General features: G+C 35.8%; 2 long non-coding RNA genes across 10 annotated transcripts in view, besides 6 other annotated features; one reads left to right on the forward strand and one right to left on the reverse strand.

Annotated features, from left to right (window-relative positions):
- The window catches only part of DLEU2 (deleted in lymphocytic leukemia 2), a 142,993-nt gene that overhangs the window by 83,791 nt on the left and 34,810 nt on the right, over nt 1–24,392 (reverse strand). For 4 of the 7 annotated variants that reach the window (NR_152571.1, NR_152572.1, NR_152567.1 and 1 more), the window contains exons 1-3: nt 15,484–15,702; nt 9,220–9,314; nt 1,758–1,824 (exon numbers count right to left, since the gene is read on the reverse strand). This is a non-coding gene — a long non-coding RNA (deleted in lymphocytic leukemia 2). Of the gene's footprint in view, nt 1–1,757; nt 1,825–4,242; nt 4,303–5,176; nt 5,291–9,219; nt 9,315–15,483; nt 15,703–24,392 lie in introns of those variants that run through there. The other 3 variants (NR_152568.1, NR_152569.1, NR_152566.1) reach the window with 2 other exon arrangements.
- Nucleotides 14,282–14,341: an enhancer, noted in NCBI's record as "active region_7759". NCBI's record gives its function as "activates an Ori minimal core promoter by ATAC-STARR-seq in GM12878 lymphoblastoid cells {active_cell/tissue: GM12878}" and the evidence as "EXISTENCE:reporter gene assay evidence [ECO:0000049][PMID:35858748]".
- Nucleotides 14,974–15,268: a silencer, noted in NCBI's record as "tiled region #84; HepG2 Repressive non-DNase unmatched - State 1:Tss, and K562 Repressive non-DNase unmatched - State 2:TssF". NCBI's record gives its function as "represses a minimal TATA promoter and a strong SV40 promoter by Sharpr-MPRA in HepG2 and K562 cells {active_cell/tissue: HepG2 | K562}" and the evidence as "EXISTENCE:reporter gene assay evidence [ECO:0000049][PMID:27701403]".
- Nucleotides 14,974–15,351: a biological region, named in NCBI's record as "Sharpr-MPRA regulatory region 84".
- Nucleotides 15,132–15,351: a silencer, noted in NCBI's record as "silent region_5352". NCBI's record gives its function as "represses an Ori minimal core promoter by ATAC-STARR-seq in GM12878 lymphoblastoid cells {active_cell/tissue: GM12878}" and the evidence as "EXISTENCE:reporter gene assay evidence [ECO:0000049][PMID:35858748]".
- Nucleotides 15,752–15,801: a silencer, noted in NCBI's record as "silent region_5353". NCBI's record gives its function as "represses an Ori minimal core promoter by ATAC-STARR-seq in GM12878 lymphoblastoid cells {active_cell/tissue: GM12878}" and the evidence as "EXISTENCE:reporter gene assay evidence [ECO:0000049][PMID:35858748]".
- Nucleotides 15,830–24,392, forward strand: part of DLEU1 (deleted in lymphocytic leukemia 1) — a 446,475-nt gene continuing 437,912 nt past the window's right edge. For 2 of the 3 annotated variants that reach the window (NR_109974.1, NR_109973.1), the window contains exons 1-2: nt 15,830–16,218; nt 16,803–16,855. This is a non-coding gene — a long non-coding RNA (deleted in lymphocytic leukemia 1). The remainder of the gene's footprint in view (nt 16,219–16,802; nt 16,856–24,392) is intronic. The other variant, NR_002605.2, reaches the window with a different exon arrangement.
- Nucleotides 15,959–16,754: an enhancer, noted in NCBI's record as "H3K27ac-H3K4me1 hESC enhancer chr13:50656434-50657229 (GRCh37/hg19 assembly coordinates)". NCBI's record gives its function as "activates a minimal SCP1, AML or CMV promoter by ChIP-STARR-seq in primed H9 embryonic stem cells {active_cell/tissue: H9 hESC(primed)}" and the evidence as "EXISTENCE:reporter gene assay evidence [ECO:0000049][PMID:30033119]".

Consider the following 24,392-nt stretch of genomic DNA (forward strand, 5'->3'; position numbering starts at 1 on the left):
GTTCAATGGCTGATCGTCTATGATCATAAGGCCATCCCCAACATATACACATTATTTGAGTCACTGTGAGATAATGTAATAAAAGCATCTGAAGCACTAGTTTCATTTAAACAGAGACATGCCCTCAACATCAAGAATAGAAAGTCTTGCGCTTGAGTTTTTCTTTAGAGATGCAGAATTAGCTCAAGGAATGGATGGAAATGACATTTTTTGGTAACTGATTTTAAGGTCTCGAATACTTTTATGGAAATAAGTATCCTGCGCATTTTATATGCCCTTGATCTTGTGAGTTTTTCTAGAGGCATAATATTAATTTCAGTTAACTTGTTAAAATTATTCTTTCAGAATTTCTAAGTGTCTCAAAAGTTAAATGAATTGGGGAAAAATGTTTCTTATTCTAAAAAAGAGGTATGCATGTATATATATAAAAGGAAGGAAAAAGGAGAAAAATCCTCTTTTTGATATTTGCAGGAAATATCTGAGGTTTAGCTTGGGAGGCGATGGGGCAATCCAGGGCGAGAAATGATGTCTTGAATAATTAAGGTGACTACTCCTGACCTTCAACTAAACAGACTACCTTCCTGTCTACCCTGAAGGTATCACTTTGGTGTTGCTATCCACTGATTCACTTCTGCAAACTTCCCTGACAGAAGAAAGGAGGACTTGCAGCTGGACACTGCTCCCTGGCTCTTCGGAGCGGTTTCTTTACACTATGCATGGACCACAGATCATCTGCTGCCATCCTACTCAGGGAGAGCTTGCTAAAGATGCATGGTCCTGGCCCCCACCCAAAACCTCTGACTTTGAATCCATGTCAGAAATCGTTTAATTTATGTACTTACTTGTTTATCTGTTTTGTTCACTGCTATATCTTTGGCTCCTAGAAAAGTACTAGGAACATGGTAGATACTCAATAAATATGTACTGAATAAATGAAAAAAAAAAAAACCAACAAAAGAAAGGGAAGGAAAAGGGATTGCCTTCATGTTTCTCCCACCTCCTCAAGTTGTTTTTTTTTTTTTTTTGAGACGGAGTCTCGCTCTGTCTCCCAGGCTGGAGTGCAGTGGCGTGATCTCGGCTCACTGCAAGCTCCGCCTCCCGGGTTCATGCCATTCTCCTGCCTCAGCCTCCCGAGTAGCTGGGACTACAGGCGCCCGCTACCACGCCCGGCTAATTTTTTTATTTTCAGTAGAGACGTGGTTTCACCGTGCTAGCCAGGATGGTCTCGACCTCCTGACCTCGTGATCCGCCCACCTCGGCCTCCCAAAGTGCTGGGATTACAAGGCGTGAGCCACCGCGCCCGGCCACCTCCTCAAGTTTTAACAGCTAAATGTTAAGCTCTTCACAAAGAAGTCTCAAGTGTAACCTAATGAAATTAAAAACAGACTTTACAAAATCATTTCTCAAGTGGAGAGAATACTCTCAATTTATAAAACCATAAGACCAATAAACCTGAATAATGAGTACTAAAAAAGACAATTACCTATTTGTTAATTCCTTTGAAGGAAAAGGGCTCAAAATTGTGATTCTCAGACTTGGAGATTATAGGGCCTGGGTATAAAATACTTCCCTAAATAACTTACCAAGGCAATGGCATTATTCTTGCTCTAAACTATTAATTAACATCAAATCTCAACGTGTAGAGGGGCTAGGAGAGGTTAGAAAGTTACCATAATAGGATAAGCAGGGAAAAAAATCAGAAATAAACCAGAACATGACACCAAACAGTAATAGGGAGACTCAGAGTTAATACTTACAAGGTAAGAATTGCTGAGCTAAGTAGAGGTCTCTTTTATTGTGGTCTTCATTCTATCATTATTAAACCTAGGAAAAAGAGGGAAGACTTTAAAAATTTCAGCACATTATATAAGTTAGAACATTTCAACTGAGGTTGCCACCGCTGTATTCTGATCCTTATACAGCACAGAACAATCAGATTATAAACACCCAGCAGCATTTGTATGTTTCAGCCCAGTGCAGCATTCTTGTTAGTTTTTTTGTTAAGACATGGGGTCTTGCTCTATCACCCAGGCTGGAGTGCAATGGTGTGATCCTAACTCACTGCAACCTCAAACTCTTGAGTTTAAGCTATCCTCCTGCCTCAGCCTCGCAAGTAGCTGGGATTACAGGCCTGCATGCCACTACATCCTGCTTATCACTGGCTTTTAAAATTTGCTATTCTATTACAATTGCCCTCTTGAAGTTTAAGTCAAAAATTTTAGTCAAAGCTAAAACTCTAACTTGGAGCCCAATGAGCTTCTGGAGGACATCATATATTTGCAGATATTTTAAGATAAATTCAAGATCATATTCCAAGACTGATTAATCTCTCTCACACACATAAAATTGCATCATCTATAATCCATGTATTGTATATTGCACAATTCCAAGTACACAAAGGAAGGAATATATGACATTTTTAAAGATATGCTAGTAATCTGAGTTGGTTAGCATGTTTGGCTTCTGTGGGTCATGATTCTAAGTTGTAGTTGTTACATCAACTAATAGTTAAGCACTTACTATAAGATACAGAATAGAAAGGATATGACAAATTCATCCATGTTCTTAACAGAGCACTGCAAGTATACGCTTTATTGTAGACTAATCTTAACAGAAAAAGAACAGCATGTTTTTAAAAATTTCAAAATCATTTGCTTCAAAATTCACAGAAAAATCAAGGGAATACCAAAATGAACCTCCATATCCTATCTCTGGACTCCCAATCCAGCTGTACTGAAATCTAAAACTATGCCATACTTACTTCCCTTTGTTTTTTATGAAAATTGATTACACATACAGATGATGTCCTTTGTGAGCTATACCCTGATTCCATTCCATTCTTTCCAAAGATGCAAGCATAATCTTGAATTTGATATTTATTTCCTATGTTTTTACACTATTACTACCAATTCAAGAATTTAAACTTTATCATTGCTTTCAAGCTTTTGATAAATGGTATAATATCATACATATTTTATATACGTTACTCTGTATATAACCTTTATGCAACTTATTTGTTTGCTGAAGTAGGATATTCACCCATGATGATAAACACAGCTCTCATTTTAGTAGCTTTACAGTTCATCACATGACTATGTCACAATTTGCCATTCTCTTCTTGCTTAACATTTACATTGCTTTCATTTTTTTCCTATTAAAAATAACCAAGACTTTTTTCTACATGTCTTGAGTTTACCTAGAGCATCTAGGAATAAAATTGTTGGGTTCAAGCCTATTGTATCTTCAACTTTACAAAGATATTGCTAAATGCTCCCACAAGCAGCATATGAAGAGTTCCTCATTTTATATTTCCTCCAACATTTGGAAGCATATTTAAGAAAAACAGCCACTATCTATATGAAAATTTAAAAATTCATAAGTGATCAATTCCTTTGGTTTTCATCAAGTATTGGTTTAACATAGGTATACTAATGTTCCAAACAAAGAGAATAGACTGAAATTTGGCCCAAGGCACTTACATGAAAACAAAGCTCTGATAACACAGATTTTCCTCATGTGACTGAGGAAATACCAAGACTTAATCTATTTTTTAATCAGCCGAATTTAAGATTCAAGAACTTAATCTAGAAATGATAAGATTCCTAATTAAATATTAAGCTTAGATCCAAGATGACCAAAGAGGGGAAAAAAAGATGCAGGAAAAGTAGATAGTTTGTGGGTATGAACAATCCCTCCTCCAAGTTCATTTTGGGCAGTGCTTCTCACAAATGTGGTGCTCCTAAGAAAAATCTCTTAAAGCTTGTAAAAAAATGCAAATTCCAGGTCTGGAAAAATGTTTTTATTTTATTTTTTAAATTCTAGGTTATTCTCATACAGGTGGTTTGCAGGCAACTAAGCAGTAAGTAATGATTAAAAATGAGGTGCTTTCAATAGAGAGGATTATGTAACTCATGTTTTAGTTAGGGGAGGTAACAGTAATTAATATGTTATCTGTTAAATTACATAAACTTTTTTTTAAAAACCTCTAGCATTAGTCAACAACAACAAAAAAGTAACCTCAATTTATGGCTGAATATGCTTGACTTCACAATGCCAAGAAAGGTTGTGGGCTCATTTATTTTTTCAGATAACTAGACACATACTATGACAAAGCTTTTTTTAGTAATATTACCAGGGAACTAATATTCTGAATTTACTGTGATTGGCACAGGAAAATATTAAGAGTGAGAGTGATCAGGAGTGATTTTAATGAAGGTGACCAGAAAGCAACTATATGATTACCTTTTAAATAGAATGCTATTGCAAATGTCAAACTTTAAATGGGACATTTGGCTTTATACACTAAAAAAAAAAAAAAAAAAAAAAAAAAAGGCATTAGTAGTTTCCCACCAAGACCGCTACAAATAAATTCAGAACATTTATAGAAATCCAACATTCACACTTCCCTGTAACTCTAACCTATTGAAATTAGATGTAAAAGGAAGAAAAAAAATAGAATATTTAGGTTATAAAAATCGGCGCAAATTCAAATTATAAAAATAAAAACATTCTTCTATATTATTTGAAATTACAAAGTCCTGTTTCCAAAAGATTTAGAATAATCTAAGCTTTCTAGATAAAAAGTTCAGATAAAAGATATTTCAGTGAGAAATGGTAAATAGAAAAAGTAAGCAGTTTAGTAGTAAGAAAAAAGACATAAGTTTTCATCTGTTGCCTGCTTTTAGTTATTTACAACACTAAGTTAATATAGAATGTTGTTTTCTTTCTTTTATTATAGTGAAATCAACAAGAATTCGGTCTTGTTAGACTGGGCTTTTATAAAACAAAGATAATGTAGTCCAAAAGTGAAAGAAACACTCCTGTGTGGCCATAGCCAGCTTTTCTTTTCTATCCTCAATATATTACCTAACTTGTGATATCAGCAACTAATTATAATTTTTTTCAGTCTACCTGCTTAAAAGTGAAAACATGAAACATACCATATATACATGAAACATACTATATATACCTCCAGAAGCAAGACAGGTTTTCCATTCTAATGGATGGAATTAACTGAATAAAAATTAAATGAACTAAAGCCACAGAGAAATAGTAAAAAATAATAGAGTCTAAGAACTACAAGCATCTACTGTTCTCTTTATGCTGCAACCTTTCTGCTAAAGAATGTATTCTCTATACTGTGTATGTGGTACAGTGACAGTTGGGCTCTTCCCACCTGGGTTTGTAAAAACGGATGGGTGCAGGCTCCTTTGGCCACCATTATTGCATATTGATGTTATTCTGCACAACAGCTGACAAGCAGCATCGATCTCCCAGCCTCTGCTCCCAGCTGTAAGGGGTAAGAACAAGGGCTGTGGTGATAACTTGTTTATTCACTGCTGTTGCTGTTGCTGCTGCTGCTTCTTAAACAGCAAGCTGAGAAAAGAATATCAAACTGACACACAGAGGAAAAATGGTTCAGACATCAATCTACCTCTCAAGGTCTGCTTATATCACTATATGATAAAATTATTTTTAAAATAATTTTTCTTTAAAAAGTGGGGTGGGGAGAGAAAAAAGACAAAATTGGTGTTTTGATTATAAAGGGAACCTATAATGTATGCAAGGAAAAGGAAATTAATGACATATATAATAATCTTCCCCTTGTAAGTCTAGATTTAACCGCTCAATTATCAAAATTCTCTGAAGAGTTTTAACCAATGTTGGGGTAAATTCATTGAGAGTAACTTCCCTACCTATTCTCCTGGAAAATAAGAAAGTGTAAAACTCCAATCAAGAAATGACACTTTATTTTGCTTACAAAATGCCTCTAGCTCCCAAGTGCCCCATATCTAATCACCACCATATGTTTGACTTTAGACACTATTAGCAAAGAAATAAGATTTTAGTCCATACTGTTTTTGCATAAATCCCATTAAAAAAACTTCCATATGCAATTTACCTATTTTAAATGTGCAATACAAAGTTAAAAACTTAGTAAGTACATAGTATTAATTGATGAGTAACAGAAATAGAAATATTCACTGTTCAATTACCTTTAAATGTAATGTGATGCTATTTATAGACTTACAGCTTTAACTGTAAATGCAACTCATCTTTTAGAACCTTAAGCAACTTGTGATTCAGAAAAATATAAAAAGTCAGAAAAATTTGGAGATCTATAAACTATTAAAAAGAAAAACCCACATAGGCTAGAACTGGCAAGTAAGTTTAAATAATAATACCTAATCAAGAAGGCTAAGTTTGAGACATTTTAAAATAAAAGTATGAAACAGTAACAATATTTTAAATTTAGATATTTTGTAACAAATCAAAACCCAACCCCAATCTTCTATTTTTATCACAATTGAAAAAATTTTCTGCTTAGCAACTCAATGAGGAACAAAAAATGTTAATAATAATAAAAATAATTCTGAAGACCAGAGGATAACAAGATACTTTAAATATATTTGTTTTGTATGAAGGCTATAAAATAAAAAAGACTAACAGCAAATCCTCAAGCAAGATTTTTAAAAATTCAGACACTTAGAAACAGTAATGGATTAATAAACTATTAACCAGTGGGATTAATCAGTCTCAGCAGCCACATGTGAAACATGCTTCACATTTCTCCTCTAAGATTCTAACCATGAAAATAGGAAAGTAAAACTAAGTCAAATAATATGTTAATGAAGTATCAAAAGTGTGGTTTGTGGTGCTGTGAATAGAAATTTCACTTCAAAATGTATTTAATTTTAAACCTTCACATTAATTAAATATTACCCTTTGAAAAATGCTTATCAGAAAATATAATTCTGATACATTAGATCTCATTTGAAGAAAAACTGAAAGAGGTTAAGGATGTTATTTGCTAGTTTAAGAAAAAACACAAAATACACACATGAACAAAACTGCTTCAAATAAATATTTTTAAAACTTTTATTTAAAAAGTTAATTGTATCTATTATTTAACAAATTCTCATCAATATATAAAACCTCTATTAAAATGTCATAGCTGACAAACTGCCTAAAATGTAACATATCCTTATAAACTAGCATTATACATCTCTGACAAATAATAATTTTAAGTTCCTTCATATGTAGATATGTTAAGTTACCTCTATTCTAGTTTATTCAAATATTCTTTCTATACTAAAAAAACTATTTCAGTAAGACAGGAACAATGATGGTATAACTGTATTTTAGGGACAGCTAAGAATTTTTCCCAAAAGTGAATGTTATTTAACCCTGATTGTGCATTTAGCCAAAAACATAAATATTGAAAAAATGAGATACAAATCACTGAAAAAAAGATAAAAATTAACACAATAAATCTCTTCCCCCAAATTCCAACATAATTAACTACACATCAAGGCTTAAATTTAGATAATCAGGTTTGCAAATTTAAAACGGTCAAAATCTTTACAAAATGTCTTACAAGGGGTAGTTAAAAGAGAGCCAATCATACACAGCAGTTGAACTCTTTGTTAATTGGCCTCCTAAAATAACCCATACTCCTAATTAGGTTAAAGTTTCTCACCCTGTAAGAATTGACCAAATACAAGTAAACTGTTAATATTTGTATTGATTCTTTTAGATATGAAATTATTTACTAAGCTAAATTATTAGAAGTTTATAACCCAGTATAATAACTATAGGAAGAACAATTATATGATGCTAAATATTTGTGTTCAAAATAAGTTTTGATATCTTCAAAGATCACAAATCACAAACTCTCTAAATTTGGACGACTCTGTGGATTTATATCTTATCTACCATATAAACTCAAATGCTGTCTCTCTTTTCCTATTTAACTCATTAAGGCTGTTCTAAAGATACCTGCATTGAAAGTGACAAACTGAACCTGGATTTTTTTTCCCAGATACTCAGGTAACTGTATTTTCCACTTTTCATCTTAATGTTCTCTAACCTGAAAAATAGCTGTTAAGTCAGTGAGGGAAAAATTGTATTTATTTTCATTTTATTCAAACTAAGCTGCTTTTTCATAAAAATCTCAAATCAAACATATGAAGACATTCCATACCTCATATTTATCTGAACCACATTACAGTATGACACCAATATAAAAGTATCTAAACTTCACCCTTATGTTAAACTCTGATTTCTAAACATCTTTACATTTTATTTAACTTCAACTGTTAATTGATTCATTCCTGGTTTATCTACCTAATATCCAATATAGAAATATCAAATTTCAGTTTTTAGTATTTTGATATGTATTTCAACATTCACTCTTAAACACACCTCAGAATTCATCTTTAAAAATTTTACATTGTTGGAAGTTAAAAGCAGTTCTATGATCGTGATGATATACTTCATTCTTAAGACTAAATAATAATTTTCTCATGAAAACAAACCTTTGACATTTCCTCTAAGTATATAAATATTTTTAGGTGAAAAAATTAAAAAAAATTGTATTATGTTAGTAAACCTTACTTTAGCAAATAGTTTTTACACAAATAAACGCACACATATATGTACATATAAGATTAATACTTTACTATGAAAGAATTAACCAAGTAATACTTAGTAATACTGTTCAATAAGTTCATTTTCACTATACCAGATTACCATTTTAGAAAATGAAAGTTGTATTAGTTAAATACTGTCTGAAATTTTCAACTAAAACTATAAAAATCACTGGAGGTTTAGGGATTCTACAATTTTATTTTTAGAGTCTGCAACTTTTGATATTAACAACTGAAATATTTTACTCAGTGTATGTTGAGTAAGATACTAGTAATTTCTGCTTAAGAAAGTGGTTTTTTCAGTTTCGACCATATTGCCACTTTTGGTTAGGGCAGTACTTGGAATACTTTACATTTTCTTAAAATATTCTCATCAATTTTACCTAATTTTGCAGGCTCTACCTACTACTCTTCCACCTGTCAAACAGCTAAGCACTAAATTCCATTTGATTTAAACTCTCCATTTTATAAGATGAAAAGTTCATATTTTACTGAGTACACTGTAATAACCTTAAGAAAATAAAAATTACTATAAATACATATTTTTGGAATAAATTCAGTTGGAGTTAGACCTTAGGATGCTGAGAAGAACATTACCTGTATAAAAAAAAAATCTGGAGTTTTAGTAAGCTAGACAACTCAGCTTATGGCCACTTCATATGATGATTTCTGTTTATGAGTAATTACTTATTGATTTTAGTTCACGTAAAAATTTCAACTTTACCAATTGTCTAGTCCGATTATATTGCAAAGACATAAAATTATATGGTTTTAAAATTTGTTAGTATACCTTAATCTCATGTCATGTTCCAATGCATTATGTAAGTATTCAATCAAAGAAGTGAGGCTGTTCTCCAGAATTGGTTCTCTGCTACAGGTCAAAACCTGCAATAAAAATGTCATGTATTATAGCATGAAGACACTCAACAGATTTCCATCTCCTGCAGTTCCACAGTTGATCCCTGAACACAGAGGTATGGTCTTCAAAATGACCCTAATCTTGCCAATGTTCAGAGAAGCTCTAACTTGAAAATGTTTTAAAAATAGAAATAACTTGATTAGAAACACCTGTGATATGCTTTATCATCCGAAGCCTCTTCAAACAAATCAGATTAATATGTTTCTGCTTTCATTTCTCTTTAGGGCATTCATGTTCAAAGTAGTATGGGTGAGTGTGTATGCGGGTAGCTGTTAGAGGACTGGTACAAGAGGAGTTCATAAAGAAAATATCAGAAATGTAGTTTGTACTTGTAAAACTCATAAAATCCACACAGTTTAAAAAGTTACTGAAGGGACAGGGACGAAATTTTACTTTCTCTCCAAATTATCAAATGTTTTAATGATGACAGAATTTACCATTCTTTTTTTTTTTTTTTTTTTTTGAGACGAAGTTTTGCTCTTGTTGACCAGGCTGGAGAGCAATGGTGCGATATAGGATCACTGCAACCTCTGCCTTCTGGATTCAAGGGATTCTCCTGCCTCAGCCTCCCGAGTAGCTGGGATTACAGGTGCCTGCCACCATGCCTGGCTAAGAATTTACCATTATTTTCAACTTTAGTCTACTGCCAAGCCTAAGTGAAAAGTATCAGTATTTCCAAATATTTTAATACATTACAGTCCTAACAGACCAAAATGTGGAGTTTTTTTTTTTTTAACAAGTTAACATATTTACAAATAATAAATGGACCACTACTGGACCAAATGGTTTTTTAATGTTTCTAAGAGATGTAACTGAATATATGTTAAGTGTTTTTTTTCATTTCTTTCACCTTTCTGAATTATAATGATTCAGTGGCAATCGACTGTATAAAAATATTAAATTACCAAAGGTGTATCATGTATTACATGTAAATCATAATGCTCTGAATAAATTTTCCAGTTATATTTAAGAATAGCTTAGGAAAATGAAAGAGTAAAACCTAAAAAAACCTTTATTCCTCTGTTGCCAAATATTTGATTGTTTAATGACAAAACCCACACAATCATCCATAACTCATAAACACCAATCCAAATACCATGACATTTTAAAAAATTACCGTCATTTATACACAGTCTTCCTCAAAAGACAGACAGTTTTCTATATTTGAGCACTCTGAAAATTAAGGTATCTTAAGTTTAAAAATCATAGAAGGAAAATAGTAGAAAACAAAATGTACTACATGCCAAATGTTAAGTTTTTAAATAGTAGGGAGATGAAAAATACTAACCAATAAGAAGCAAAAGAGGTCTGGATATAAATAAAATAATAAACCAATGTGTATGATAAAAAAGGCAATATTAAAAAACCTTCAAATAGTAAAACTCAAATCTAAAATCTATTACAAAATAGAGCTTACTATTTATTCTTAGAAACCACTACAAGTTATTCCAGTACAAATTTTCTTTACTGAAATAAGGCAGGATTAACCAAAGGTATAGTAAACTTCTTATAATTTGATAAGAAATATTAATAATATTCAAATATATATTTAATATCAATTTCAATATTTAAAACTTGTCTTTCTAAAAGGAAGATCCTTTAAAGCATCTCTAATACAGATCAAAAAATAAAAACAAAAAACCAACCGAGGCAAAAAAATAAAAAACATTCAGTTCCCCACCAGAAAGTAATATTTATATGATCTACGAGATAAATAAACATATAATAGTAATGTGATATTCTAAAAATCTATCCTGTTACTCTTAAGACAATCATGACATTAAAGTTCTAATACTGTCACTTCCAAAAATTAAATGCTTAATCTCATTTTCAATGCTTATTTGAAATAAAGTGGTATTTTATTACTGATTTCCTTTGGTGTTATGAGATTTGGGGCTACAAAATTTCAGCAAGTCATAGTTGAGCTCTAATTATGTGCCAAAATTAGTTGCCTGGCATACAATGTTTCAAAGTTTGCTGAATTAAAAACAAAACAAAACCAAAAACCCCCACGAAACTATATATATGACAATTTTTTCTAAGATGTGTTTTCTAGTTATAATCAGACCTAAAATCTGTGTCTTCTAAAAAGGGGTTAAAAAGAAATTAATATGTGAATTTTTAAGCTTCATTAGACAGAAGAAAAAAAACACAAGAGCCAATTTTAGGTAATATTTTAAAATAAGAGAAATTTTTATAGAATAATTTTTTGAAACTATAAATTTATCATCTTCTTTTGAAGAAAGCTAATGTGTCATATATAATAATTATCTAATACAGTCTCTGGGAATTTTTTTTCATTTTGTAAACCAAATCAACTGACCCATATTTCTGGCTTTAAGTATTCTGTGACATTCCAAATAGTTACTACCTACCAATAAACAAACAAACAAACAAAAATACACACAAGTCTCCACAAAACAAAACAAACGAAAATGTACTACATAAAGCATGATGAAACCAGGAATCTAGACTATGAAAGCTACTTTAAAATTTTTATCCTTAGCTGTAGTTCATGCTAAACATTAAAACTCATATTAATCTGATTAGAAAAAATATGCAGTGTTACATACAAACACCCGAGGCTACATTTTCTGAATGTACAACTAAGACAGGTCAACAGTATTTTTTTAAAAAGTCTGAAACTGCACTTTTATTTGAATTTTTAAAAATAGTGTGGGGGCAAACAAATGAAAATCAATGCTACCAGGAAGACTGATACCTTACCAGTCCCCTTTCCCCCACAATAGGTAAACATAACTTTAAAAAGGGGTGACCTATTATAGCAACACCACACCCCGCAGTTGCTTTCCTATGGTAATAAATGACTTTGTAATACAAAATAAATTACAACTGTCAATTTCTACAGAGAAATATGGATAAGTGCACATAAACATTAAAAAATACACATATGTTGTAACTTATACCTATATGCCCACAAGTCTAAAACCAAAATCTTCCTCTTATATAGCATCACATAAAAGTGAAAATATTTTGAATGCTGTGGATTTTATTTAGGCGCTAGTGTATTCTCAAATTTGAAGTGATGTATTTTAAATAAAGGAATCACTTCTTTTAAAAATGGCTTATTAAACAAACAATCCTTTACCCATTACCCCCTAAACAAACAAAAAATCCCATAAACCAAAGTGCTAAAAATGTATGGTTATACTTAACCAGCCTGGTGGAATTTAAAGCTTGCCCCCAACTCTTCCCAAAACTCACGTAATTTGAATGAGAATACAAAACTCAAAACAAAAACCATCAGTAAAAAGCAAAACCCAGGAGTTCTGGTACTTTAGGTATAATTACGTTTAAAATAGAAATGAGATCTCCTAAAATTTCATTAAATCAAATTTTATAGAGAAGATAATTAGCACCTTCTATGAAATTTTCATAAGATGACCCAAAATAAATAGCTTTGAACAAAGGTAATGAAAAGGGATCTGTTATCACAATTCTTGTTATGAGGGCAGTACAAAATAGTATGAATTATAAACTCAGCTATTCCACTTACTAATGTAAATTATATTTACAGCCCTACAGAGATTTATAAAAGCCATAAGATTTTTTATTTGAATATTTTTTAACAATGCGTATTTGACTTAATGCGAACATACACACTATAAGCTTCAAAATTTAACTACTATTCATAAAAGAATATAAACGTCTATTAAATTAAAACAATTGTTTCTCAAAGCATCTACAGCTGTTTATCAGTTAGTTTGCCGCTGTTCTTTGAAAACGACACCTGCCTTTTATCAAGATGCAATTAAATGGAATGACAAGCTCGGTAATAAATGGAAATATACTGAGGCTGTCTCAGGCAACATCGAACAAAAATCAACTGAAAATCAACCAGATAAAAAACAGCACACCCACACTGTTGTATACAATATATTTCTTCATAATGAATTTATCAAAGGAACTAAATAATAGATACGCACCTGTGCTTACCTGTTGTCTAAATTAAGAAACATAAATGTTTTGTAAATTAAAGTTTTAGTTCACTGCAGTTACTGAATTAGCAAAATGTATATTTTCACTAGATGCGAAAAGTTTTTTAAATAAGATGTTCAATTTTTATGGAAAATGTTAAAAAGATCATTCGTGAACCTTAAGAAAATTAGTTTCTTTGCATCAAAATAAAAGAAACAACTGTCCGGTAATCTGCATCCAACAAATATATGTAGTTTAAGGTGAAAAATTCCTATCAAAGGAAAAAAACTAAATTTTTCACTCAGTTTTTAACCAATAAAGAACAGTGACAAATATATAAAAGTCTTGTTAATTTCAACCAGCAGAAACATAATTTTGCGAAAACAGCCTCTTCAGTTTTACTTTTAATATACATTTGAGAACCACACGAAAATCCTTTCTGAGAGGAAAAAAAACTATTAAAAACCAACTTTTTTTCTAAACTCTCGTCCTAACGTTTCGTAGCTATTTCCGTGGTTCTCTGGCTAAAAGTATATTTTTTCGTAAAGTCGAGAATTATAGTTTAGCGTTCAACATTCAAACCCCCCAGGCCCGCTTCCTTCCAGCCAATCAGGGGGTAACAAGTCCAGAGTTTAGGGAGCTCCGTTAGACACAATTTGAAAAACATCACATTGCACTCTTCTATTCTCCTCCGGGAAACATTCTAAGCGAGGGCGGGTCCCCCAGTCTTCATAGAATATAAGAAATAAATCAATCGTTACATCAATTCCACGGGGAAAAACTCTGTAGGCAGGCAGTCCTAAAGAAGCGTGTCACCGCGGTTCCCAGGAAGCGTTATTCCTCTTTGCGAACAACTGAACAGAATAGCTGCTGCAGAAAGCATCTCCGGAATATTTGCAACCCAGAGCCGTGCGCCCCACACGCAATACACCGGCAAAGGGTTAATCTAGTGGTGCCTCCAGCGCGGAAAAGAACTCAAGATCTAATACATCCTTAACGCGGGATTTTTACAAAGGCCATAGAAGTATTACCTAAAGTTAATGCCGTCACTGGCTCACATCACTCAAGAGCTGTGGAGTAAGAATTGATAGAAACCACCAGCTAAGGGGGAAAAAAAAAATCACCGAAGGGAAAGACAAATAACAACTCTCGTCCCTCCTCCTCAGCGTCAAGAAAAGGTGGGGATCGCAAAATTACCGTTAAGTTGTCCGGGTAAAGACTTTTGGGGGAGGAAAACATTAATAGTTTCACAGATTGCTTTTTTCCTTGCGACATGTTTCAAACACCGGAGAAGAAAAAAGTCTTCTAAGAAAGTGCGACTCGGAGGAAATAGCCACGAGAAGGAAATCGTTAGCTCGAAGCCCCATCTTTCATCTCACCCGTGAACACTCCTCCCCTTTGAGAAAGGACAACGCTGCGAGAGCAAATGACAAAAATCCCCAGAAAGAAGCTAAAGTCCAGCATCTTTCCTAAGAGCCCGCTACAACCTCAAAAGCCTGCCCCTGCCCCATCTTGGAAGCGCGAGCCGCGGCCAGTCCTACCTACCTAGAGACCTCACCGGGACCCAGCGCGCCGGGGGAGGGCAGCCAGGGCTTGGGAAACTCTTTCCTGGGGCACCTCACGCTTCAGCGTCAAAAGACAATATAGATAGATGGGTGCCGGGCGGTGGCGGGGGGGACTGTTGCCACGACCCACCGGAGGGACCCATGACTCCGGGTCCTGAATTTTCTGTCGACCTTAAGTTTCTTGTCACGAGATGACGGCCATCACCGGGTCGAGAAAACGGCGAGAAAAGGCGGCCCGGTTCGGAAATGGGGGAGGGGCGCGCGTCCAGTCCTCCTGTCAAGGAGCGGCCGCCTGCAGAGACCCCGCAGTGCGCCGTCCCCGGCTCCGGTCCCGGGCGGGGGGTCTTGCTGACAGATCCGCTGGGCGGCGGCTGCTCCGCCGCAGCCGGTCCGCGTCCCGCTCAAACTGCAGCTCCCCTCCCCCCACAGCCCCGTCTCTCCGCGCTCCCGCCACATTCCGCCCGCCGCCGCCCACTCGCAGACGCCCAAGTTGCCCCTAACCCTACTTCCTCGGATTTTTCGCGATTAAGTGAGAGTAGACCCCGCGCCCACTCCCTGCACCCACCACTGCCTGCGGGTCCCACCACTGCCACCTCCCGAGTCCCGCTCTGCTACTTCTTCAGGCTCTTACCGACTGCGCCAGCCTTGGCGAAGCTCCGCCGACTGCCCTTTGCTCCAAGTAATTTTTGGCGATTTTTAAAGTAATTTTTCCGGCGGAGTCATAGTGGCGCTATACTCTCGGACAGGTTATCCTGTCTCTCCCGCTAGATTGATGAGATCAGGCATCACTCGAAAATGGCGCCGAAAGCGCTGAGGCTCCTCATTCAAATTCGTTAGAGCCAACCCCGCCGCCCCAGGGAATGCCGGGAACGCGGGCTGCCTCCACAGCTGTCAATACCGCCTCTTAACCCCCCTTCTCTTGCTTTCCCGACATTTTTACGCATGCGCAAACTCCAACCCTCCCCCCTCCTCCCGCCAGGCACATGCGCAGAATCATCGTGGTGCACGGCTCTCCCTTTGCTTCTTCGGTTGCAGTCCTCTTGCTTCTTGCGCGTGCGTGTAGCGCTTTTGCAAAGCCGCGGAGGTGAAGTGAACTTAGAGGTTGTGGGGCCGAGGGGTCGTCTTATAGCTACCAGCCCACAGGCATTTAGTCTACGTTGGAGGTAAACAAATACGGGTCCTGCTTAGGAGAAAAGAAAAACGTCTTACAGCCAGTGTCTAAACTCCAAACAACGGAATGTATCAATGAGACCTTGTATATGGATACACGTGCATTTAAAACCGCCCTGCCGGCTTGTAGAGCTTTTGCCGTTCTCCAGCGCTTTACAGGGGTTATCGCACTTAAGCCTCGGAACAACTTTACCAGGTAGGAACTATTACTGTTCTCGTTTTGAAGACCAGGAAACCTAGGCTCAGAGACGTTAAGTAATTTGCCCAAGACAGCACAGGTGGCACAGAAGTGGATGAATCCACATCTGTCAGATTCAGCAGCCCTGGAGTTCTCTACCACGCTGTACGATTCAACCTGAGCCCACACAGGAGGCGTGGTCTCCTTCTTCAACGGTGTGTGTGTGTGTGCGCGCGCGCCTGCCTAGAGTTAATGATTAAGTTTGCTGAAGCCCTTCTTCCCGGTCCTAAGCTGCCTGTTGCGAAGGCGCTTTCATTGAATTCAGTTTCTCTTACCGTCTTAACTTGTTCATAAACTTTTTGAGATAGGAATGGGCAGTTTTTCTGTGTCACTTAGGATGATTTTTTTTTTTAATGGCGTGATAAGTGAACTGAATCCAGCAAAGACGAGTTTCTGTTGTGCAACACGTTGGTATACTGACAGCTACCACGTATTGACTGTGTACTGTGTGCTGGGCACTGTGCTAAATAAATGATTTACGAATTAATCGTGTTTATTGCTCACAACAGCCTTATGAAGTAGGTATTATCTTCACTTTACAGATGAGGACACCTGAGGTTCAGATTAAGAAATCTGCCCCAAAGTCTTAGAACTGGTAAGTAGAAGCACCATATCTAGGCAAACCTGTCTACCTTCAAAAAAAATGGGCACTCTGATAGGACAATTAACGATAATAAAGTTGTAATTTTTTTTTTTTTTTGAGACGGAGCCTCGCTCTGTCGCCAGGCTGGAGTGCAGTGGCGCGATCTCGGCTCACTGCAGCCTCCGCCTCCCGGGTTCAAGCAATTCTCCTGCCTCAGCCTCCCGAGTAGCTGGGACTACAGGCAAGTGCCACCACGCCCAGCTAATTTTTGTACTTTTAATAGAGACGGGGTTTCACCATGTTGGCCAGAAGGGTCTCGATCTCTTGACCTCGCGATCCGCCCGCCTCGGCCTCCCAAAGTGTTGGGATTACAGGCGTGAGCCACCGCGTGGAGCCCTATAAAGTTGTAAATATTTTAAAACCTTCATTGTGAATGTTAAATAAGAGAGTAGATATGAAAGTGCCTGAAGTACTAATAAGGAAGTGGGAGAAGGGTAGCATGGTTTGCATTATTTAAGTGTCTTGGAAAAGAAATGGATTTTAGCAATTTGAGATCAGCAAGAAGTAACGTGGCAGAGTAGTATAAATACACTACTTAATCTCTGGTACTTTTTTGCACTACTTAAGTGGGTCGACTCTGGAACCGAGCTGCCTGGGTGAATCCCAGCTCCACTACTTACTAGCTGTGCCTTGTTGGGTAAATTATCTGTTGGACCTTTTGTAAAACAAGTACTATTAATACCTCATTGGACTGTTGTAAGGATGTAAATGAGCTAACATATTAAAGGAATTTCAACAGTGCTTGGCATATTAGTAAATGTTTGTTATTGTCAGTCAGTCATTGATCTTTTAAACTGGCTTCTTTAATGGTTGTTCAAAAATCAAACTACAGTTAGTGCCTTTAGGGGTCAGCATTTTTTTTCTTTTTTTTTCTGAGAGGGAGCCTCACTCTGTTGCCCAGGCTGGTTGGATCACTGCAACCTCTGCCTCCCGGGTTCAAGCAGTTCTCCTGCCTCAGCCTCCCATGTAGCTGGGATTACAGGTGCGCGCCACCACGCCCGGCTAATTTTTGTATTTTTAGTAGAGACGGGGTTTCACCATGTTGGTCAGGCTGGTCTCCAACTCCTGACCTCGTGATCTGTCTGCCTTTGCCTCCCAAAGTGCTGGGATTATAGGCGTGAGCCACCGCGCTGGGCGGGGTTAGCATTCTTATTCAAGAGCTCCTTAAAATGATAAATCAAACTGACAAATGATTTTTCCCAAATATGAATAATGATCCCTGTTAGGCAAATAAGGATGTTAATTTATTTTACCATCTCATAAGAATAATACCTGGAAATGGAATAGATTTATTGCTTTTTCTGATTGTTAAGGTTAAAAAACCGAGGCCCATCTAAAATATATATAAAGTAAAAATCATCCAAATTTCTAGCATTCAGGGATAACCACATATTGTTTGTACTTTAAAAATATAATGTACCTGTGGGGACAATCAGCTAGGGGGGGTCTGGATAAGTGGTATATTTGGGAGACATGTGTAAAATTGTACTAGAACTTACAAATAGGTAAGTAGCACAATCTGGTTTCCTCACTGTAGAATTTTTTATCTTAGTCCCCTTTTAGATATAATATGTCAAGAGAATTCTAAAGTGATGATGATAAATGATAACATTTATTGAAGACCTAATATGTGTCAGACACTGGGCTAAGCATGTACATGCATTTTTCCATCGAATCATCATGTAACTCATTAAGTGGGTGCAATTATCTCTATTTTGCAGAGACTAAAGTTTATGTGTAAGTCACTTTTAGAAGATTTAAGTCTAATTGTGTTTAAAGTCTTATTTAAGAAAAAATCTTTCATGAAAGCTTCTTGATTTGCTAAAATGGGAGAAAACAAAATCAACTAACATACAGTAGTTCCTATGCCTGAACAGAGAGCCCGATTGTAAAAAACGGTCTTTTGAAAACTAAGAATTTTATATTTGACCACAAGGGGGTGCAAATTCCTGAGTTAAATTTCAAAGGAAAAACGGGAAAAGTGCTTTTACTTTAGACCATCAAATTCGTGGGTTAAAACTAGTAAGAATTCCTGCCTGGAACTTTAATACCCTACAAAGTAATGTACTTTATAAGAAGAAAGAACTCAATTACTTAGGTGCTCAATTAGGGCAGAAGTGTCAGCTTGCTTTCTTCAATACAGTCAAGAGTTAATCATCCCTCCCCCACCCCTTTCCACTCACAGTTAGTTTGTGTCTCTGCATACCCCTCTTTACTTGTCAATAAGAGTAGAACTGAAGTCATAATTTAAAATCTGGGGTTTTGCTCTTGGAAACTGAAATGCAATCACCAGCTAATGGATGCTAAATATGGGTAGTGTGAAGAACAGAGGTCTTGTAATTTCTATGCTTTTTTTCCCTCCTGCTGAAGTTTATAATGAGTAAGCTACAACTGATGCAATGTTGGCTTCAACATATTAACTTATTTAGATAAAACTGTGAAAGCTATAGGTCTGTTCATCTTTCAAGAAAGAATGCAGGCCGGGCGCGGTGGCTCACGCCTGTAATCCCAGCACTTTGGGAGGCCGAGGCAGGCGGATCACGAGGTCAGGAGATCGAGACCATCCTGGCTAACATGGTGAAACCCCGTCTCTACTAAAAATACAAAAAAATTAGCTGAGCGTGGTGGCAGGCGCCTGTAGTCCCAGCTACTCGGGAGGCTGAGGCAGGAGAATGGCATGAACCTGGGAGGCGGAGCTTGCAGTGAGCCGAGATCGCGCCACTGCACTCCAGCCTGGGCCACTGAGCAAGACTCTGTCTCGAGAAAAAAAAAAGAAAGAAAGAATGCAGACAGTACCTTGAAAACAGTATATACTACTGAATGTATTAAAAACTTTGCTTAGCAGGGTTTTCAACTTCCTTTTATTTTCGTGTTGGTCTTGTTTCTCTGAGATGGGACTTAATTTAAAAAATACAACTTTTTTTGGAAATAATTTCAAATTTACAAAAAGTTACAATATTAAAAAGAGTTCAAAGAACATCTATATCATTTGCTTGCTCTTGTACATGGGTGAGTTTTCTTTTTCTCTCTCTCTCCATATACACAGTCTATAAAAAACACACAGAGGAAAAATACAAGAAAAAAACTTTCAACCCATATCAAGGTTTTATGATTATAGTTAAAAATATACATATCAAAAAGTCAAACTAAAATTTTGCAGTGTTGACACTGCCAAACTATTCTTTTAAGGAACATTGGTGTTCTATCAGCTAGTCCAGTGATTTTTGTTTTTTTAAGAGACAGGGTCTCTCTATATTGCCCAGGCTGGCTTCAAACTCCTGGACTCAAGTGATCGTCCATTCAGCCTTACAAGTAGCAGGGACTGTAGGCAAGTGCCACTGCACCCAGCTCAGTGATTCTTAAACTTTGAAAATGTGTTGAAAGTTATAGACCCTTTCTCTAGAATCATGCATGTATGTGAATAGTTTGCATATAGTTTCAGAGGTGGATGATGGTCCATGGAGTTCCTGAAGAAAAGTAAAGGAAAAATTATTCATACATATGGTAGGCAGAATAATGGCCTACCAAAGATGTCCAAAGATGTACATGTCCTAATCTCTCTGGGATTTGTGAATATGTTATGTTACACGGTGAGAGATAATTCAAGTTGCAGATAAAAATTAGGGTTGCTACTCAGATGATCTGAAAATAGATTATTCTGGATCACCTGAGGAGGCCTAATTACATGGTCCTTTAAGTGTGTAAAGGGGAAGCAGAAGAATCCGTGTCAATGATGAGATGTGAGAAAGCCATTGCTGACTCTGAAGGTGGAAGGAGGCCATGAGCCAAAGAATAGTTCATGAGCTCTAGAAGCTGAAAAAGGCAAGAAAACAGACTCTTTAGGAATGCAGCCATGCCGACATCTCTATTTTAGCCCGCTAAGACCCATTTTGAATTTCTGACCTCCAGAACTGTAAGATAATACATTTCTGTTGTTTTAAGCCACTAAGTTTATGGTAATTTGTTTAAGGTAATTTTAAGGCATTAGGAAACTAATAAAGGATGTGAACAGTCATTTTGTATGTGTGTTGATGTGTGGTTATGGTAGTAATTAAGTGTGTGTGTGTGTGTGTGTGTATACATTTTTTAATACCACCTAGGTATTTTTCTTTTTTTCTTTTTTTTTTTTTTTTGGAGTTGGGGTCTCTGTCTCCTAGGCTGGAGTTCAGTGGAGTGATCTCGGCTCACTTTAACCTCTGTCTTCTGGGCTCAAGTGATCCTCCCACCTCAGCCTCCCGAGTAGCTGGGACCACAGGTGCCCGCCACCACACCCACCTAATTTTTTGTATTTTTTGGTAGAGGTGGGGTTTCGTCATGTTGCCTGAGCTGTTCTGTAATTTTTTGCTTAACAAATCCATAAAAAGTACTTCTTTATCTTTTTTAAAGGTCTGTGAAGTGTCAGACCTCAAGATGGACAACTATTTAATTAGATATAGCATCTTATCTACTACTGAAATTATATTCCTACACAATTTACTGAAATTTCTTGGTAAGAATGTGATGAGCTTTTCCCAAAAATTTACCCATCTACATTCCCTTTATAAAACGCAACCTTTTGATTTACAGTTATGTTGACAATATCTTTGTTCTGTCAAGTATCTTGGATAATTTCTTCTCCCTGTAGCTAATTGACAGATTAAAAACAATTAGAAAATTCTCCTCAGAGGTTATTTAAACAGTATATAATTATATGCTTTACTTAGGTATCAGCTTAAGAGAATAAACTGTTTAGAAACAGATTTATTTTGCAGTTGGTAGATTATTTTAATGGAAGATCAATACAGGTACTTAATTATCTATAAATGTTTTGTGAGCAAGAAACTTTTTGTGATTTTTTTTTTTAAAGGATACCAATATTAGTTACATGGGGGAAAATTTATACACACATCAGGAAATGTACTTGTTTTAGGAAATTTACATGGTTTAGAGCTCCAATTTCTAGAAGTGGTTAGAACAGATTCATATATAGCATTTTCAACTTTGATTCTCTGAATATACTGAGTTAAGATTTTTTTTCCTATATGAGGAGTTATTTTGCTTACAGTATCCTTGACCACAAATCATGGAACTAAACTAAAATTCATTTACGACTAATAATGGTCAACATTTATTGAGGAAGTATGACCTTTTTTATTTTGTTGTTGAGACAGAGTCTCACTCTGTTCTCCAGGCTGGAGTACAGTGGTGTGATCTCGGCTCACTGCAACCTCTGCCTCCCGGGTTCAAGCAGTTCTCCTGCTGCAGCCTCCCAAGTAGCTGGTACAACACGTACCACCAGGCATCTAATTTTTGTATTTTTAGTAGAGATGGGGTTTTGCCATGTTGGCCAGGCTGGTTTTGAACTCCTGGCCTCAGGTGATCCGCCTGCCTTGGCTTCCCAAAGTGGCGTGAGCCACTGCACCTGGCTGGGAAGTATGGATTTTTTTTTTTCACGTACCAATAATGATTCCTGGAAAGGGATAAACCCATTTGTTTTTGTTAATCTTCTTTCTAAAATTAATGTTAAAATGTTGGCCTTAAATGAGATATTAAATATGGTGTTTTGAAACACTGCTTTTGAAATAATATATACTTTGTGAGAGCTTAATAAAGGAAATTTAGCCTATTCAGGATTGGAATCATAGAATCTTAAGAGTTAAAATATGTCTCTTCTTACTGCCACCCATTGTCTAAGTGTCCCCTGAGGCTACTGAGAACAAATTTATTCTCACCTACCTACAGTAACCCTTTAAATATGATCATTATTTTTTTGAATCATGATGACAGCAGAATTCCCACTCCCAAACATCCTTTAATGGCTTCTTTAATGTGTCTTTAATTGTTTTATGCTCTTAAACCCTTCACCATCTTGGTTTCCTTCTTCTGGTTATTCTTGTTTAACAAGGCCCCTCTCAAACAGTGACACCCAGAATGGTATTAATTACATATATATACTATATATAGTCTGAAATATACCATGGGTGGGTATTAACTTTTTGTCCTATCCATTACAATTTTTGTATTTTAAGAACAATTTTAGGTCGTAACAGGGACTCATAAATAATGGAAATGGATGTATTGGAAATGTATCAAAAGAAAGTTTTAAAAGTTTTAACATAAACTACAGGAGTAAAAAACTTAAAAATTACAACTTATGACTTTCTCAGAGACTTTATTGAGTTGGGATGAACTGGAAGTTGTGGAGGATAGGGAACCAGGAATCTATTACATTCATGTCTTATTTATTTTTAATAAACTGGAGTAAAATTGAGACTGGTCTGTAGGAGATATGACTGCGGATGTGTGATCAGTTGTCTAAGACAGTTGAGCCTCATACTACATTTCTATTCTTAATATGTAAAATGTATTTCTTATAGTACAAATCCCTTTTGGCTAGGAAATTCTTATATGTTTAAAATAAATTAACCTTTTAAGGCAGCTCTGAAGAAGTAATTTATTTTAAATAGGTGAGCAGTTTATAGCTCTTATGGGAATACTTTTTCCTTATTTTTTCATCATAGGATTAGACCCTGTGTTTTTAATTTAAGTCCTTTAATTTTTGCTGTTAATGTTTAATTTACTTGATGACCCCGTACTGTTAACTTTTGACCAAGTGAACTTGGGACAGTATATACAAACTGTTTACCTAATTTTAAGGAAACTCTTTTAAAAATAAGATAGGTTTGATGTGAAACAGAACATTAAATTCATTTCAACTTTCCATGTAGAAAAATATCATATGTATTTAATCAAATAACTTTTCCCCCCTTATTGGAGGATGTATTTTTATCAGCATGGAGGTTTTTTGTTTTTTAATAATTAGATGTTTATGCCATTGGCAAAACAACCCAAAGCTGACCATGACCAAACTGCAATACTTTTAATAAACTAAAAGACTACTAATATAGTAGATATAAAACCCTTTCCTGATAAGAAATTTTTATAGCGTATGACTGAATCTAACAATTCTCCCTCTACCTTTATTTATGCTCGTTTACTTTCTTTTATAGAAAATTGAAATTCCTAAAGTTTAAGTTTTTAGATGTAAAAAATGTTAGTATATACAGTTAAATTAAGTTCAAGGTTTCTTTTAAACCACTTGATGTAATTTACTTTGTATATAGCTTTTATTTGCCTTTTTAAAATTATTATTACAATTTTTTTAGACAGAGAATTGCTGTATCATGCAGGCTGGAGTGCAGGGGCGTGATCTCAGGTCACTGCAACCTCTGCCTCCCCGGTTCAAGCAATTCTCGTTCCTCAGCTTCCCAAGTAGCTGGAATTATAGGCGCAAGCCACCATGCCCAGCTAATTTTTTTTTTTTTTTTTTTTTGTATTTTTAGTACAGACAGGGTTTCTGCATGTTGGCCAGGCTGGTCTCAAACTCCTGATCTCAAGTGATCCTCCTGCCTCAGCCTCCCAAACTGCTGGGATTATAGGCATGAGCCACTGCACCCAGCTTATTTGCCCTTCAAACTAGACCTGTGGACTTGCTTTTGAACATTTTCTC

This window comes from Homo sapiens, chromosome 13 (genome assembly GCF_000001405.40).
Source record: "Homo sapiens chromosome 13, GRCh38.p14 Primary Assembly".
Lineage (NCBI taxonomy): Eukaryota > Metazoa > Chordata > Mammalia > Primates > Hominidae > Homo > Homo sapiens.